Here is an 18,184-nt window from a genome sequence, read left to right on the forward strand (position 1 = left end):
GGAGAGAGAGAGAGAGAGGTAGACGGGGAGGAGGAGGCGGACAGTGGGAGGGGGAGAGGGACCGGGAGAGGGGGAGGAGTAGAGGGAGAAAGAGAGGGAGAGGGAGAGGGAGAGAGGGAGGGAGGGAGAGGGAAAGAGAGAGAGGGAGAGGGAGAGTGAGGGAGAGGGAGGGAGGGAGACAGGGAGAGAGAGGGAGAGGGAGGGAGGAAGAGAGGGAGAGAGAGAGACGGAGGGAGGGAGAGGGAGAAAGAGAGAGAGGGAGGGAGAGGAAGAGAGAGAGAGAGGAAGAGAGGGAGAGACAGAGGGAAGGACAGGGAGAGAGGGAGAGAGAGAGGGAGAGGGAGAGAGAGAGGGAGGGAGGGAGAGGGAGGGAGAGGGACAGAGAAAGGGAGAAGGAGAGGGAGAGGGAGAGAGAGGGAGGGAAGGAGAGGGAGAAGGAAAGAGAGAGGGAGGGAAGGAGAGGGAAAGAGAGGGAGAGGGAGAGTGGCAAGGAGAGAGAGAGGGAGGGAGGGACAAAGAGAGAGAGGGAGGGAGAGAGGGAGAGGGAGAGAGAGAGGGAGGGAGAGGGAAAGAGAGAGAGAGAGAGAGGAAGAGAGAGAGGGAGAGGGAGGGAGGCAGAGGGAGAGAGAGAGGTAGAGAGAGAGGGAGAGAGACAGGGAGAGAGAGAGGGAGAGGGAGGGAGGAAGAGGGAGAGGGAGAGAGAAAGAGAAGGAGAGAGAGAGGGAGGGAGGGAGAGAAAGGGAAGGAGGGAGAGGGAGAGGGAGGCAGAGAGAGGGGGAGGGGGAGAGAGAAGGAGGGGGAGGGGGAGAGAGAAGGAGGGGGAGGGGGAGAGAGAGGTAGCCCCCCCCCTACACAGAGGGAGGGGGAGATTCTCAGATACAGATTGGGAGGGAGAGAGAGAGGGAGGGGGAGAGGGAGAGAGAGGGAGGGAGAGGGAGAGAGAGAGGGAGAGGGGGAAGGAGGGAGAGGGAGAGAGAAAGGGAGAAGGAGAGGGAGAGGGAGAGAGAGGGAGGGAGGGACAGAGGGAGGGAGAGGGAAAGAGAGGGAGAAGGAGAGTCAGAAGGAGAGAGAGAGGGAGGGAGTGAGAAAGAGAGAGAGGGAGGGAGAGAGGGAGTGAGAGAGGGAGGGAGAGGAAATGGAAAGAGAGAGAGGGAGGGAGAGAGAGAGGGAGATGGAGGGAGGAAGAGGGAGTGGGAGAGAGAGGGAGAGAGAAAGAGAGGGAGAGAGAAGGAAGGAGGGAGAGAGAGGGAAGGAGGGAGAGAGAGGGAGGGGGAGAGACAGAAAGGGATGGGGGAGAGAGAGGGAGAGAGAGGAAGAGAGGGAGCGAGGGAGGGAAGGAGGGAGGGAGAGAGAGAGGGAGAGGAAGAGAGAGGAAGGAGGTGCCACACTCTTTTAAACAACCAGATCTTGTGTGAACTCAGAGGGGGAACTCACTCATTATCACAAGGACAGCACCAGGCCATTCATGAGAGATCCACCCCCATGACCCGAACACCTCCCACTAGGCCCACCAACATTGGAGGTCCCATTTCAACATGAGATTTGGAGGGAAAAAAACATCCAAACCATATCAGGCACTGATCCCATTCTGGAGGGTGGGGATCTCATGACTTAGTCACTTCCCAAAGGCCCCACCTCTTCATACTATCACATTGGGTATTAGGTTCCAACATATGAATTTGGGGTGGGGGGGACACCAATATTCAGACCACAGCAATCACCTTATTACTGACCACCTTATTCAATAGGGTCACCCACACAAAGCCCCACCATGCCCGCTGCTCCACTTGTTCTGTGTTCTAGGGGATTTCGCACCCTTCAACACACTATGTAATTGCTCTTATTTTGTTTATCATCTGTTTCTTCCCACCTTGGAAAGGCCCACAGGGCCTCAACTGAGGGCTGCGGAAGTGACCTAAGGAACAGACACAGTTATCCTGTCTCAGAGCTCGTCCCCTCCTCATTGTCTCTGTTACCTGTAGCCAGGCCATCTGCAGAGCTGGCAAGCAATGGGACAGACGTGGAGCTGATGCTGGCATTGTCTCTCTGGTTTTGAGTCTGAACCAAGGCTCCTGTGTGAGAGTCAAAACACCTCTTCACATCTCTTGCCTCCTTCCTCAACTCCTTTGGGCCTCTTTTCTTCCAGCTGTCTGGGAGCCAGGCTGAGTTCCCCACAAATGTAAAGCAATCATAAATAATCATCAGGCTAATGAGGCTGGGGGTGATCATGCAGGAACTCCCTGCCACATGACAAACAGCCGGCTGCTGATTTATCATGGGACAGATGTAAATACTCGCCTCTCCCCTGAGCAGGAACACATGTTCTTAGTCATATGGTAGCTGCTGAAAACACCCCATTGGGGTTGTTCACCCTCTGCTGAGATCAGAAGGAGGCAGAGAGGCCCAAGCTTTGCCAGGAATGAATGGTGGTTAAAAGGGGAGGGTTCTTTCTCTTAGCCCATCAACCTGGCCACCAATTAAAAAAACTCAAATAACCAGTGGGTCTAGCATAGGAGTGAAGAGTGAGTTTTAGGCCCAAAAGCTCAGGATGCTTAAACTCCAACTGCCACCCAGTAGGGTGGGACCTCCATTAAGTTGCTTAACAATGCTGAGCCTCAGTTTTCTCCTCTGAAAATGGGTTAATAATAGTATCTTCCCCATTGGGTTGTTGTGAACATCAAGAATGAATGTCAACTGTTTAACACAGAGTAAGACCTTAATAAACGGATGGCTGGGCATGGTGGCCCACACCTGTAATCCCAGCACTCTGGGAGGCTGAGGCAGGTGGATCACCTGAGGTCAGGAGTTCAAGACCAGCCTGGCCAACATGGTGAAACCCCATCTCTACTAAAAATACAAAAATTAGCCGGGCATGGTGGTGCACACCTGTAATCCCAGCTACTCAGGATGCTGAGGCAGGAGAATTGCTCCAACCCAGGAGGCAGAGGTTGCAGTGAGCCAAGATCATGCCACTGCACTCCAGCCTGGGCAATAGAGTGAGACTCTGTCTTAAATAAATAAATAAATAAATAAATAAATAAATAAATAAAGCACAGTTAGTGTCAGCATGCTCCATTGTTAGTCAACATGATTCTTGCTCTTATCCTGGAAGACCCCTTGCTCTCCCATGGGCACCTGATTATGCTCACTCCATCCCATCTTTGTCCTCACCCAGAGCCCCTCTCCTCTTCTCTCTTCCTGTCCAAATTCTAACCATCCCTCCCAACTGCTGCCCCATTTTTTCCAGCCATTCCCGATTTCTCCTTGCCTTGATCTTGTACTGGAAATAGTAAGTGTCTTTTAAACATTTTTTTAAGCCACAGATCCCTTTCTTACAAGGAAATTGCACACAGAAATAAACACAAATAAGACCAATAAAGGCAGAGCTGTGAAGGCAAGGAAAAGTGAGAACTAGAGTCTCTACCATCCATGGACTTACCTTAGGGTTAGGAAGATGAGCCCCGCCCCCTATGGACGTAGAGTGAATGAGATCATTGGATCATGGTGTCACCATGTTCTGCCTTGGACTTTGAGTCAGGCAGCTGCCATCTTCAGCCCATGGTGCACAGTCCTGCCCCTTCACCCTGCTTCATTCCTTTGTCCACCTTTCTCTCTCCTCCAATAAGCTTCTGGGGCAAGAACCATGCCTCCTTCGTGTCTTCCTACTCACATCCCAAAACTAGGACAGGGCTCTGTACCCCCGCAGGCACCCAACATACATCTGTTAACATGAAATGAGATACATCCAGACAGTTTATAAATACACTAAGCAAAGCCTCTCCTCATTATAGATGGGGGTAAACTGAGGCAGGGCCACCCAGGTATTTATCAAGAGAGTCAGCCCTGGAATAGGAGCCCCCAGACGCCTAGCTCCAGCCTCACCCACTAGCCTTGGAGGCTCCCAAATGTAAGTGACTTGCTGTTCATATTCCCTGGCATCCAGCAACCCAAGAATTTTGCTCTTGCTATCAGGAGGATGGAAAGATAGGAGCTTAGGGTGAGTAAGACAAAAGCTCTCTGAGAAAGAACTGTTGCTGTCTGGGCAAGAGAGACAGGGAAGAGAACCCAAGAAGTTTAAGGCAAGAATGATACACGTATCTTGTTAAATGCTAAGTTCTACTGTCCGGGCCAGGGGTTTTGAAGCCACAAGGACTTCCCAGAGGCAGATGGAGGTAGGAGGGAAGCCAGGAGTGTGTACAACGGAAAAGGCCCCAGTGGGGAGGGTCCCAGACAGCCTCCTCCCCTACCCTAGATTTCATCTGAGCAGGTCTGCCTTTATCAGTCTTACTTGTGTTTATTTCTGGGTACGATTTCCTTGTAACAAAGGGATCTGTGGCTTAAAAAATGTTTAAAAGACACTTGCTATTTCCAGTACAAGATCAAGGTGAGGAGAAATCAAGAATGGCTGCAAAAGATGGGGCAGGCGTTGGGAGGGATGGTTAGAATTTGGAGAGGAAGAGGAGAGGGGCTCTGGGTGAGGACAAAGATGGGATGGAGTGAGCATGACCAGGTGCCCACAGGACAGCAAGGGGTCTTCCAGGATAAGAGCAAGAATCATGTTGACTAACAATGGAGAATGGAGAGGGTTGGGTGTGAGAGGGGGTGGGGTGAGGGAAAGTGTAAGGGTGGACCTTCACTCTATTCTCCCGCAAATGCCTTCCTTAGACAATGGCTCCTGATGGGCCTTGTAGATCCAACCAACAAAGCCCCATTCCCTTCCCCATCACACATCCCTAGTTGCCTCTGAGCCACTGCCAGCCTATCAACTATAGGAGGATGCCTTTCTCATGACCCTTTGTCATGAGGTTGCCAGAGTCACCCCCCTCAACTACCTTGCGTGATCACCTGTCAGCTGTGTGAAACTTGATCAGGTGGCTTAACCTCTCTGAACCTCAGGTCCTCATGTACCAAATGGGGTGACAGTGTTGTGAGAATTATACATGAGATAATTTATGATCGCACATACCAAGGTGCCTGGCCCTTGAGGAATTCTCAATAATTACAAGGTAGTTGGCTCTAGAAGACTTTGGGAAACCAAGCTCGGGTTGTGGTTCATTATGGGTTACCATGGAAACCAGACCTAAAGGCTGGAGAACAGACAGGCCTAGTGTGCCCAGAGCACCTAGGCCTGATTCACATTAGGATCTATTTTCTTGAATCCTTAAATGCACCTTAGAGTTCACGCAGGCATGAAGGAATGGCTCCAGGCATTGTCCTCAGCCCCTGAGCAAGGGAGTAAGCCCAGTTCCACACAGGGGCAATTCCTGAACACACATTCACTGCGTGAAGAAAGGGCTGAGGACCTAGCTCTGGGCCGCATGTAGACAGGAGTGATTGATGAGTTTAACTTCATGCATCTCATTGCAGCCTAAAAGGATGTGACAAGTCCGGGCGCAGTGTCTCACGCCTTTAATCCCAGCACTTTGGGAGGCCAAAGCGGGTGGATCACTTGAGGTCAGGAGTTCAAGACTAGCCTGGCCAACATGGCGAAACCCCATTTCTACTAATAATACAAAAAAATTAGCTGGGCGTGGTGGCACACACCTGTAATCTCAGCTACTCGGGAGGCTGAGCAGGAGAATCGCTGGAACCCGGGAGGCAGAGGTTGCAGTGAGCTGAGATCACACCATTGCACTCCAGCCTGGGCAACGAGAGCAAAACTCCATCTCAAAAAAAAAAAAAGATATGACAAAAAGTCAGGTGAACTTGCTGGTTTCATTCTATCCAAGTTGGTGCCTCTCAGAGGTTCCTTGTTTAGTTGACTTGTGCTGGGGTTAATGGAAGATATGCATCACTAACAGGTGCTTTTCACTGGATACTTTGATACTCATCACCAGCCAGCAGATTCCAAGGTTGAACCACTGCTTGTATGTCTGTTCTTAAGTGTTGAACTGATGGCTGCTCTCTCCCTGGTAATAGGGTATCTGCCCCATTGATAGCTATCAGTGGGAGGCACTCAGATGGAACCCGCATAACTACCACTTCTAGCTCTATGAACTTGGCACTGGTCACTTAATCCTCTGAGCTTCAGTTTCCCGCTCTGAAAAATAGGTATGGCGCTGACACAAGCTACTCTGCCTGCCACTGGTTTGCTGGAATAAAATCAAAGGTATAGAAATGGACCTTGGGAGGTCAAGGCAGGTGGATCACCTGAGGTCAAGAATTCAAGACCAGGCTGGCCAACATGGTGAAACCCCATCTCTACTAAAAATACAAAAATTAGCTGGGCATGGTAGCACAAACCTGTAGTCCCAGCTACTCAGGAGGCTGTGGCAGGAAGGTCACTTGAACCTGGGAGGAAGAGCCTGTTCCCCAATCCCTTCCATTTCTATACTTTTTTTTTTTTTGAGCCAGAGTCTCGCTCTGTCGCCACTGCACTCCAGCCTGGGCAACAGAGCAAGACTCTGGCTCGCAAAAAAAAGTATAGAAATGGAAGGGCTTGGAGAACAGGCTCTGTCTCAAGCCCTCATTACCAGTTGGTCAGCTGATCCCACACAACTTATTGTGAAAACACAGTAAGTGTGTTCCTGAGAATTAAGGGGGTGTGGGGAAGAATGCATCTTTCTGATATTCTAAAAGCCACTCTCTAGAGAGAGTAGTTATAAATGCAACACAGAGGCCTTAATACAACTGTAATATACTTGACCTGTTTGTCACATGGTGCTGGCAAATTGCTTAATGTCTCAAGACCTTAGTTTCCCCATGTGCAAAATAAAGGGACTTGGGTGGATGGTTTGCTCCTTGGCTCCAACCTTCTGTGACTATTGATAGGCATTAGATTTTGAGAGATATGAACCATAATGTCTACCATCCCAACACAGTCTGTTTGAGCACAACTGAATTATCTCAGCAAGCACATGCTTGACTTTGGATAGGTTTCATCTCATACTTCCTCACAACAAATTATCTTGCCAGTGAGAAAAGAGAGGCTCAGGGAAGTTCAACTTCTAAGGCCACATAGCTAATAAATGACTGGGCCAGGACTTGAACCTGGACCTGCTTGTCCCAGGACCTGCTTGTCCCAACACCTATGTATCTTCCAAGACACAGTGCTTTTGCCAAGGGACAGAGGTTTTCCAGATTTGCAATGAGATATTTTTATGTTGTTTGGTAGGGAAACCAGATATATATAATAATATATATAAAATTACATATACATTTATAATTATACATAAAATTACATATACATATATAATTATATATAAAATTACATATAATACGTTTATAATTATATGTTATATATATGACATATAGTATATAATATATATTTTTCTATGTTATATTTTATATGTTATATATGTATTTTTGAAACCCTTTAGAAGGTCAAGACTCTTCAGAAGGTCAAGGTCATTTCACGGGTGAATGGTTAATCCCCCCAAGCAACAACACCGTGTGTATAAACTGCCCCCAGAATGCAGCCCTTTCAAGATGGAGAAGGAGGGGCCTCAGGGAGGGCAGAACGCCCAGCGCACCTGCCAGGTCTGTGAAAGAGGAGAGGTTGAAGAAGAAAGAGTAGGAAAAAGCTTTCTTTCCCCCTCAAGTTAGAAAGCGGGCAGAGCAAGAGAGAGAGATCAAAAACCACTAAAGGTCCCTCATGTCAACCTCTCCCTGTTTTAATTAAGCAGAGTCCACACCCCCACCCCCACTCCCTCAAAAATGCTTTGCACTCAGCAAGAGCTGCTTCACAGCAGGTTGCAGTTAAGCCTTCAAACAACCAGCAGCCTCAGGAAATGCCAGCAGCCCACAGGTGCGGGGCGAGGCGGGGCCCCTCCCCTTCTCCGCACCCAGGCCGAGCAGCCACAAGATGGACCAAGGAGCCGCAAGAGCATTCCCTGAACCCTTCTCCACTGGGCCGTGATTCTCGGCAGCGAGCCTCCAACTGCGGCAACCCTCGGTAAGACAGGCATCTTCCGTGGGGACCCAGCCAACACCTACAGACATCCATACATATCAAGCTCAAAAAAAACTCACAAAACAACTCTTGCCGCTGTTATGTGCGATGCATTCACATTTTCTACTCTTTTTTTTTTTTTTTTTTTAATGCTGATTGCAGCCTTTTATATTAGCGTCACGATTCACTGAAGGTTTCCAAACTCATTTTGAAAACGCAGTCTGCTGGATGGAGGCATTAATGTCCTCCAAGTCAGGCAGAGCCTGACCTACTCTCCTTCCTTGCCTCATTAGCTCTACCCAGCCCAGGTCCCCGCTCCAGCAAACTTGCAGCTCTGGAATGTCTTTAGCAACTCCGCACCTCCAGGCCTGGGCCATACACCTTGCTAAGCCTGATGCCCATTCTCCTGCCCCCCTGTTCTTCCTACAGTTGTGACCACCTACCTCTATGTCTCTGAATTTCTTTTTTTTTTTAATTTTATTTTTTACTTCTTCCCTTTTTTGTTTGTTTGTTTGTTTGTTTCTGCTGGGGTTTTTTGTTTGTTTTGTTTTAGACAGAGTCTCCCGCTGTCGCCCAGGCTGGAGTGCAGTGGCGCGATCTTGGCTCACTGCAACCTCCACCTCCCAGGTTCAAGCAATTCTCCTGCCTCAGCCTCCCGAGTAGCTGGGATTACAGACACATGCCACCACACCTGGCTAATTTTTGTATTTTTAGAGACAGGTTTTCACCATACTGGCCAAGTTGGTCTCGAACTCCTGACCTCAAGTGATCCGCCTGCCTTGGCCTCCCAAAGTGCTGGGATTACAGGCGTGAGCCACCACGCCCTGCCTCCTCCCTGAATTTCTCATGTGTAACTGTTGCAGATTGCAAGCGCCTCTGTTCCCCACTGATCACCCTAGGTGTGGCTGTTCTATGGAGACCAGGTTATGAGTCCTCCAGGGCCTGTTTATCCTGTGGCTGGAGTCCTACTAATCAAAGTTTTTCCATCAACATTTCTAAATGGAAGAGAGAAGGCAAAAAGTGGGGTGGGGGTGGGAGGGGCGCAGGAGGAGGGAGGACTGGGCCCTCCCCCAGAGACAAACCCCATTCCTAAGGAAGGAAAATTGCAATTATTGTCAACTTTCTGTGGGGGACCTTCCATGCTTAGCAGGAAGAGGACAATGGTTTTCAGACCCAACATTGATGGCAACACCTGCCTTCCAGGCGGGAGGCAGGATTCCTCTCAGAGGTGAGTTGCTGAGAGATGCCTTGAGGGACCTTCTCAGAAGAGAAAAGCAAGGCTCGCTGGACCTTCCAGAAAGGCAGGAATGAGGGGGAGGCAATGGTTAGCAGCCAGCCACTGGGAAAACACCGTGCAGGGTGGGCCCCTGGGGAGCGGGGGGGAGCTCCAGCGATGTTGAGGAGGGCATGGCGGGTGCATTGGGGGCTTCGTCTATTCCATCAAGCCCACCCAGAAAGGCAGGGCAGGCTCCGTGTCCCACTGGCCAGGTTCAGTCCTGGGACCCTAGACTAGTTACCAAACCCTGCTGTGTTTCTGCTTCCTGGCCGTCACATGGGGACCTGCCTCTTAGGGTTCTGTGAGGACCCAACGGGTTAAGACAAATAACACACTTAGAGCATGGCCAGATACAGGAAAAGTGTTCTATTCATTTTATTTCATCAACACATTAACTCATGGAGGTAATTTTTTTTTTTTTTTTTTTTCCCGAGACGGAGTCTCACTCTATCATCCAGGCTGGAGTGCAGTAGTGCAATCTCGGCTCACTGCAACCTTTGCCTTACAGGTTCGAGCTATTCTCCTGCCTCAGCCTCCTGAGTAGCTGGGACTACAGGCGTGTGCCACTGCGCCCAATTAATTTTTGTATTTTTGGTAGAGATGGGGTTCCACTATGTTGGCCAGGCTGGTCTTGAACTCCTGACCTCAAGTGATCCACCCCCCTCAGCCTCCCAAAGTGCTGGGATTACAGGCGTGAGCCAGTGTACCTGGCCCAAGGTGAATATTATCCCCATTTTGTAGATGAGGAAACTGAGGCTCAGAGGGCCCCAGGAGAAGTGGCCTCACAGAATCCACTACACAAAGAATGTTTATTTAGCAACTGTCACGGGAAAGGCAGGAAATTCAGAGGAGGCTAATAGGCCATTCTGTCCCAGAGAGGTTTATGTTTCTAGTGGGGTGGTGATTGCAAACCCCAGTAAAGTTTTTCTGCTTTCAAAGGGCAGAGAGATCCCAGGGGAAGGAAAGTGGGAGAGGAAGGGGATTTGGGCTGGTTAGAGGAAGCTTTGCTAGAGGAACTAAGCTCCAGGATAATCAGGGTTTGTGATGGGGTGGGGAGAGAAAACCATCAACTCAGAGGCAGAAGAGGTTTTCATAGTATTTGTATCCTCTCTCCTCAGGCTCTGCATTGGCTGGTCCTGATTACAGAAAAAAAAAAAATGATCTGCTTCAGAGTGGGTCAAGAGACCCACGGATTAAAAGCCTCAAATGTATGAGTACATATGGGCACCAAGAAGGGAACAGGCACCGAGGCCTATTGAGGGTAGAGAATGGAAGGAAAGTGAGGAATGAAAAACAACTATGTTTATTACCTGGGTGGCAAAATAATCTGCACACCAAACCCCTGTGACATGCAGTTTACCTGCACCTGTCCCAGTACCCTTGAACCTAAAGTAAAAATTAAAAATAAAAAAGAAAGTTGAAATGACTAATAACAAAAAAAAATTTTTTTAGAGATGGGGGTCTTGCTATTTTGCTCAGGCTGATCTTAAACTCCTGGCTCAAGCGATCCTTCCCCCTTGGCCTCCCAAAGTGCTGGGATTATTTTTAATGACGTTTGTTCATACTTTGTTTGTAATACTTATGGAGATTCTCACCCACCGTTACCAGTTAGCTTTCCCAAACTGTGCTTTAACTGTTGATTTTGTAATAAAAAGCAGTATCTTCAAATAAATAAATAAAATGAACACATTGAAAACACAAACAAAAAAGGCCTCGGTGTAGGTTTCCAGTCTCTGAGTGAGGCTGTATACACTCAGCCAGGGAGGAAAGGATCCATGATCATTGTTAGAGGTAAACATGGAAAAGATAGCACAGTGACAAGCCAGTGGTCCTCAACTTCGGTGGCATATTAGAATACCCTGGGAAGTCCCACTCCATCCCAATTAAGTCCGAATCTCTGAAGGTGGGGCTGAGGCATCAGTAGGTTTTAAAGCTCCTGGGGGCTGTTGTGCAAAGGAAAACTTGAAGCTCTGTTCCTTCATTTCAAAAAGAAAGAAAGAAAATGGAAGTGGCCAGAGCCTCTCTCCAGGCGAGGAACAGAAAGCAGAAAAGAACTGGCTTCTTTTTGTGATCTTGGTCCAAACCTCTTTTTCCTCTCACTGAAGGATTCTCCCAGCAACCTCCAAGCAACCAGTCAAGAGACGCTGCCCTGAATTTTTGGTCCTCAGCTATAGAACAAAGAAGTCTTTGAGGTTTAACAAGAGGCTGCTCAGCTCTCTGGCCCCTGGGCTACTAAGATCTAGATTGGGAGCCTGGACTGCCACATGTGTAAGGGACGGAGCCTCGGATCAGGGCTGCCAGCTGGTGCCCTCCAAAGGCAGTATCTCACCTCCTGCCCACCCTCCTCCCAACCCTCAGGAGGGTGCTTGCAGTGAGATGAGATGCCGCAGGGAATAAAAACCACCAGCACCCCCTCAGCGTCCCTCCACTGTGTCAGGATCACAGACAGTGAGCCCCAGCCCCCAGCCCAGCCCTCTCTCCCCTGGAGGGAAACCAGCTTAAATTTGACTGGTTAGTAGGAATCCCTCATCTGGTCAGTGCCAAGATATCCCCAGCCTCCTGCTCCCTAACCCGGCTCCTCCGGGAGTGCTCTTCCAAGCAGGTGGAAACATAGCTTGCCTGAAGTGGTGATGAATCTCCTCATAGTAGGGGTTGGGAGGATAGGTGGCACTTGGACTAGAATTGGGAATATGGGAGTGGGAAGGGCAGTGGAAGGGGGATTTTGTTCCATTTTTTTTTTTTTTTTTTTTTTTTTTTTGCTTTCTCCAGTCTCAGAGGTAGGAGATGTTGGGCAGCAGTCAAGAAAAAGTTCACCTCTCCAAGCTTTACCATAGGCAACTGGCCACCACCCCTCCTCACTCCAGCGGTTTGAATGGTTTGCTCCTAACTGTGCCCTCTGCATTTGCCTTCATCCATCTCCATTCTTCTTTACGGTCAACATGCCAGGACCCTACATCTTCTCCCACATCAGTTGTTCACAGGGGCTCCTTCCCATGGAGTTCTGTCTAATGGCTTCCCAAACCTGAGTCTCATGGACATGTCCACTCTTCTTGTCCAATATCTCAGGAGCCTTGAATACTGCTGACCACTATGGTTGTAGGGTGGTGGTAGGGTGGTGGTAGGATGGTGTAGGGTGGTGGTAAGGTGGTTGTAGGGTGGTGTACAGTGGTGGTCAGGTGGTGGTAAGATGGTATAGGGTGGTGTAGAGTGGTAGGGTGGTGGAAGGATAGTGTGATAGGGTGGTGGAAGGGTGGTTGTAGGGTGATGTAGGGTGGTGGTAGGGTGGTGGAAGGGTGGTTGTAGGGTGGTATGGGGGTGGTAGGGTAGTTTTAGAGTGGTAGGGTGGTGTTATGGTGGTGGTATGGTGGTGTAGGGTGGTGGTACTGTGGTGTAGGGTGGTTGTAGGGTGGTAGGGTGGTGGTAAGGTAGTTTTAGGGTGGCAGGGTGGTGGTACAGTGGTGGTAGAGTGGTGGTAAGGTGGTGTAGGGTGACGGTAGGGTGGTGTAGGGTGGTGGAAAGATAGTGGTAGGGGGGTGTAGGGTGGTGGTAGGGTGAAAATAAAGCTACATGTATATATTGAGGTCTGGCACACAGTGTTTAAAACATGTTAGCTCTCTCTTCCCTGCGTACTCTCAAGAGTGTATGTATGGTGTTGAGTGTACCCTGGGCCCTGGCTCTGGGTCATTCAGCAATGACTGAGGAGGGCTGGAAACAAGGAGGTGCCTGTGGAGAACAAATCCACTTCTGGTTACTGGTTTGAGACCTGGTAACAGTGGCCATCCCCGACCTTCTTGGGCTGCCATCTTTGAAGACCACCATCCCTAAGGTGAACAGAGATGGTTCAGAGATTTTTCCTTTATCTTTCCATAGAGGAAGTACAACCAGAAGTTGGGATGAGTCGGCCTTGAGATGGAAGAGATTTGAGATACCCCACTTTTCCCAGTGACTGCTTTGATAAGCAGACAGTCTTCCTTTCTCTTTCCTTTGAAGATTTTGGTCCAATTTGCAAAGGAGCTAGTATCCCAGTTGTTTTAAGAATGTATAGTCCTGGAGGCAGACACCAACTGAGAAAATGGAGCACCTAGAAAAAGGCAGATAAGGGAATAAAAGAAATGGCTAAATTCATAATTTTTTTAAAATTATGAGAAACAGAAGAAAATAGTTATGAGCTTAAGTAGGGAAGCACTTCTAAGCACACACATATTAAGAACATATAATGGAAAGAGTGATAGATTTGAATACATTTAAAAAATGTATTTCTCTATGTTAAAAAAACTTTTTTTTTTTTTTTTTTGTGATGGAGTCTTGCTCTGTCACCCAGGCTGGAGTGCAGTGGCGCAATCTTGGCTGACTGCAACCTCCACTTCCTGAGTTCTGGCAATTCTCTTGCCTCAGCCTCCCTAGTAGCTGGGATTACAGGCGCCCACCACCACACCTGGCTAATTTTCCTATCTTTAGTAGAGACAGGGTTTCACTATGTTGGCCAGGCTGGTGATTCACCTGCCTTGGCCTCCCAAAGTGGTGGCAGGCATGAGCCACAGTGCCCAGCTGAAAAACAATTTCTATAGATTAAAAAGAAACTATATATAATTTTATAGGTTAAAAAACAAAGTATTTGAAATATATATAACAAAATTAATATCTTTAATATATAAACAGCTTTTACAAATTAATAAAAAAGGAAAATCCCAGCTAAAAAGTTCAATGCACGTAAATATGCAATTTACAAATAAAGACATACAGATATAAAAAGTATATCCTTTGAGTAATAAAATAAATACAAACTAAAATAACAGTAAAATTCCTTTTTTTTCCCACTTAGCTTATTGTCAATGATTAAAAATAAATGCTTAATGTTGGTAAGATTACGGGAAACAGAAACTCTGATTCAAACCTACTGAAAACATAAAGCTATGTAACATTTCTGGGGGCAGTTTGCCAGTATGAATTAAAACTTTTATATGATTTACTCACGTTCACTCTTAGGAATGTCTCTTAAGAAAATAACTAGAAGTGGCTGGGCGCGGTGGCTCACTCCTGTAATCCCAGCACTTTGGGAGGCCGAGGCAGGCGGATCACGAGGTCAGGAGATCGGGACCATCCTGGCCAACATGGTGAAACCCCATGTCTACTAAAAATGCAAAAATTAGCCAGGCATGGTGGCACGTGGCTGTAATCCCAGCTACTCAGGAGGCGGAGGCAGGAGAATCCCCTGAACCAGGCAGTTGGAGGTGGCAGTGAGCCGAGATTGCGCCATAGCACTCTAGCCTGGCGACAGAGCGAGACTCCATCTCAAAAAAAAATAACTAGAAGTGTATACAAAGAATTGCATATAAAGATGTTAGTCAAAGCGTTCTTCATAATAATTTTTAAATTAAGAACAACCTAGGCCGGGCGTGGTGGCTCACACCTGTAATCCCAGCACTTTGGGAGGCCGAGGTGGGTGGATCACAAGGTCAGGAGTTCGAGACCAGCCTGACCAACATGGTGAAACTCTGTCTCTACTAAAATTACAAAAATCAGCTGGGCGTGGTGGTGTGCGCCTATAATCCCAGCTACTCAGGAGGCTGAGGCAGGAGAATCGCTTGAACCCGGGAGACAGAGGTTCCAGTGAGCCAAGATCACATCACTGCACTCCAGCCTGGGTGACAGAGCAAGACTCCGTCTCAAAAAAAAAAAAAAAAAAAAAAACAACCTAAATGCTGAGGCAGGATAATCGCTTGAACCTGGGAGGCAGAGATGGCAGTGAGCCAAGATGGTGCCACTGCACTCCAGCCTGGGTGACAGAGCAAGACTCTGTCTCAAAAAAAAAAAAAAAAAAAAGGAAAGAAAAAAAAGAACAGCCTAAATGTCTGCAAATAGGGACTTGGTTTAATATAGTTTGGCATAAATAGATAGAATGCTGTACAGCAATAAAAATCATAATTTCACCAGGTGCAGTGGCTCACACCTGTAATCCCAACAGTTTGGGAGGCCGAGGCGGGTGGATTACTAAGTTAGGAGTTCAAGACCAGCCTGGCCAATATGGTGAAACCCCGTCTCTACTAAAAAATAGAAAAAATAGCTGGGCACGGTGGCGGGTGCCTGTAATCCCAGCTACGCGGGAGGCTGAGGCAGGAGAATAGCTTGAACCTGGGAGGCAGAGGTTGCAGTGAGCCAAGATCATGCCACTGCACTCCAGACTGGATGACAGAGTGAGACTCCGTCTCAAAAAAAAAAAAATATATATATATATATATATATGTATATATATAAAATTTCAAAGAATATGAATACACAGAAATATTCACAATATAATATTGTGGAAGGAAGCTGGGAAACAAAGGAAATGTGGTTTATAAAAAACAGGCTGAAGGAAATGGCCAAGAGAAGAGAGTCCTTGAGTGCTCTGCGTAGATCTTTTGTCCAGTCCTTTGGCAGGAAAGGTAGGGCTCTATGATTGACAGCTCATCAGAGTCACCTGGAGTCCGGCAAGGAGGTTTCCCCAGGAAGGGAGCACAGGATAGACAAATATATAGGTCATCTGTGCAATTGAGAAAGTTGATTGTGGTGGTGGCGGCGGTGGTAGTGATGGAGCTTGGGGGCAGGGGGAGATTGAGAAGGTGGCATCTGCAATACTGGAATTCTCAATGACAGTCGAAGCATGTGCTTTACAGTCACCTACAAAGCAGGGTCCTAAAAAGTAATTTTGCTATATTTCCCAAAAGCTTTGAAATAGGAAGAAATCCAAAACTGCTCATTTCCTTATATTTATTTTGTTGTTTAGCATTCTATTTGTTTGCAGCAGAGTCTCAGTCTGACCTCCGAGCCCACCCAGAGGGCCCGGGCGACTGCAGGAGGGCCACTGCTCCTGCCCGCGGAGCTGGAGTGGGGCCCAGAGACAGAGACTGGGGTGTCCACCAGGAGACTCCCAAGGCTCCCAGACCGGAGCTCCGTACAAACCCTGGAGGGCAAAGCGGGGAGAGGGAGCCAAGATGAAGAGCCCAGGAGCCTGGAGAGCAGGAACCCTTTGTCTGAGGAAGCTCCAAGGAAACGGAGGGGACTCCCTGAAGTAGATTCCTTCATGTCTTCAGGGTGGCTTTTTATGCTAAGCCCCACCTGGGATGCTGGTGTGCTGAAGCATTTAGGGAGCTGGCCCAGCAGAGAGGATGCAGGGAAAGCCTGGGGATGGAGGCCAGGAGAACCACAGACCCCACCATCTGAGAGCCTGAAACCAACAACAAACTTGTGGCCAAAGCACAGTGGGTACTGGGTTTTGTACCAGGAGTTTCTGGCTGTATAACAACCCACGCTTGTGGGAAATAATCCATCCCCTCAAGAACTAATCCAGTCTCGCCAGAGCAAGATCTCACTCACGACCAGGAGAACAGCACCAAGCCAGTCATGAGAGACCCACCCCCATGACCCAAGCACCTCCTGCCAGGCCCACCTCCAACACCACCACATTGGAGATCAAATTTCAACAAGAGTTTTGGCGGGGACAAACAAACCCTATCCAAACCATAGCACATGCCATCGTTGAATGCCAGAAACTGAAAGCCTAAGCGTGGCCCTATACAGTCTAGGCCCCTGCTCTGCCAGGGACCAGATTCAGCCGCATGGCAACGTCCCCAGCTGGTTCATGAGCACATTTGAGAAGCACTGAGGATCGTGTTAAACTGCAGGTCTTGATGCAGTATGTACGGGGGAGGGACTGAGATTGTGTTGCTAAATAGATCCTAGATGACCCTGATGTTGCTGGTCCATGGATCACACTTTGGGGGAAAAAGGGGGTCTACTGTATCTGTTCTATGCCCCACCCCCCATTTTGATGAAAGCTGCCCGCATCCCTCTCACTTGCACCACTACCTGGCTCCACCCTCTAAGTGGAGCCCCTCCCTCTCTCCAGGCTCACAGCTTCTCCACTGCCTCCCTCACCCACTTTCACTGACAGGTTCTCAAAAGGCTCATGACAGTCAGGCGCGGTGGTTCACACCTGTAATCCTAGCACTTTGGGAGGCTGAGGCAGGCTGATTACTTGAGCCCTGGAGTTTGAGACCAGCCTGGGCAACATAGCAAGACCCCATCTCTGCAAAAAAAAAATACGAAAATTAGTCAGGCATGGTGGCACATGCCTGTAGTCCCAGCTACTAGGGAGGCTGAGGTGGGAGGATCGTCTGAGCCCAGGAGGTCGAGGCTGCAATGAGCCGTGATTGCACCACTGCACTCCAGCCTAGTTGTCAGAGATCCCGTCTCAAAAAAGAAAAAGAAAAAAGGCTCATGACATTATCTGCTTCATTTTCCTCACCATTTCCCTCCTACAAAAGCCTAGCAATTAGCCTTTGTCTCAGACCTCTCTCTCTGTCTCTCTCCTCTCTCTCTGTTTGTGTGTGTGTGTGTGTGTGTGTGTGTGTGTCTCTCTCTCCCTGCTGAACAGATTTTCAAAAGTCACCAACAACCTCTTAAAAATCCTGCTTATTGCCGGGTGTGGTGGTGCACACCTGTAATCCCAACAATTTGAGAGGCTGAGGCGAGTGGATCACCTGAGGTCAGGAGTTCACGACCAGCCTGACTAACATGGTGAAACCCAGTCTCTACTAAAAAAAAAAAAAAAAAAAAAAAAAAATAGGTGTGGTGGTGTATGCCTGTAATCCAAGCTACTTGAGAGGCTGAGACAGGAGGATCGCTTGTACCTGGGAGGCAGAGGTTGCGGTGAGCCGAGATCATGCCAGTGCACTCCAGCCTGGGCAATAAGAGCAAAACTCTATCTCAAAAAAAAAAAAAAATTCCTGCTTATTGGTCTTTTCTTAGTCCTCTCTAAGAAAGGGGACTTCTGTCCCATTAAATGCTGTTGACCAAACCCCATACAGTTTAGCATAAAATTTTTGCCCTGTTTTGTCCTGATTTCTCCCTACCTCTCAGGCCTATCCCCTTTATTCCAGTTCTTCATTCTCCCTGAAATTGTATCTCTACCTCGAAGTTCAGAGGGCATGCAGAACCAAATCTGCAGCTCCAACTTTTCTCTGAATCTCAAACCA

General features: G+C 48.4%; 2 annotated features.

Moving 5' to 3' along the window:
* Positions 7,233-7,865: an enhancer, noted in NCBI's record as "OCT4-NANOG-H3K4me1 hESC enhancer chr17:63491028-63491660 (GRCh37/hg19 assembly coordinates)". NCBI's record gives its function as "activates a minimal SCP1, AML or CMV promoter by ChIP-STARR-seq in naive and primed H9 embryonic stem cells {active_cell/tissue: H9 hESC(naive and primed)}" and the evidence as "EXISTENCE:reporter gene assay evidence [ECO:0000049][PMID:30033119]".
* Positions 8,499-9,131: an enhancer, noted in NCBI's record as "H3K4me1 hESC enhancer chr17:63492294-63492926 (GRCh37/hg19 assembly coordinates)". NCBI's record gives its function as "activates a minimal SCP1, AML or CMV promoter by ChIP-STARR-seq in primed H9 embryonic stem cells {active_cell/tissue: H9 hESC(primed)}" and the evidence as "EXISTENCE:reporter gene assay evidence [ECO:0000049][PMID:30033119]".

The sequence above is a fragment of the Homo sapiens genome, chromosome 17 (genome assembly GCF_000001405.40).
Source record: "Homo sapiens chromosome 17, GRCh38.p14 Primary Assembly".
Taxonomy (NCBI): domain Eukaryota; kingdom Metazoa; phylum Chordata; class Mammalia; order Primates; family Hominidae; genus Homo; species Homo sapiens.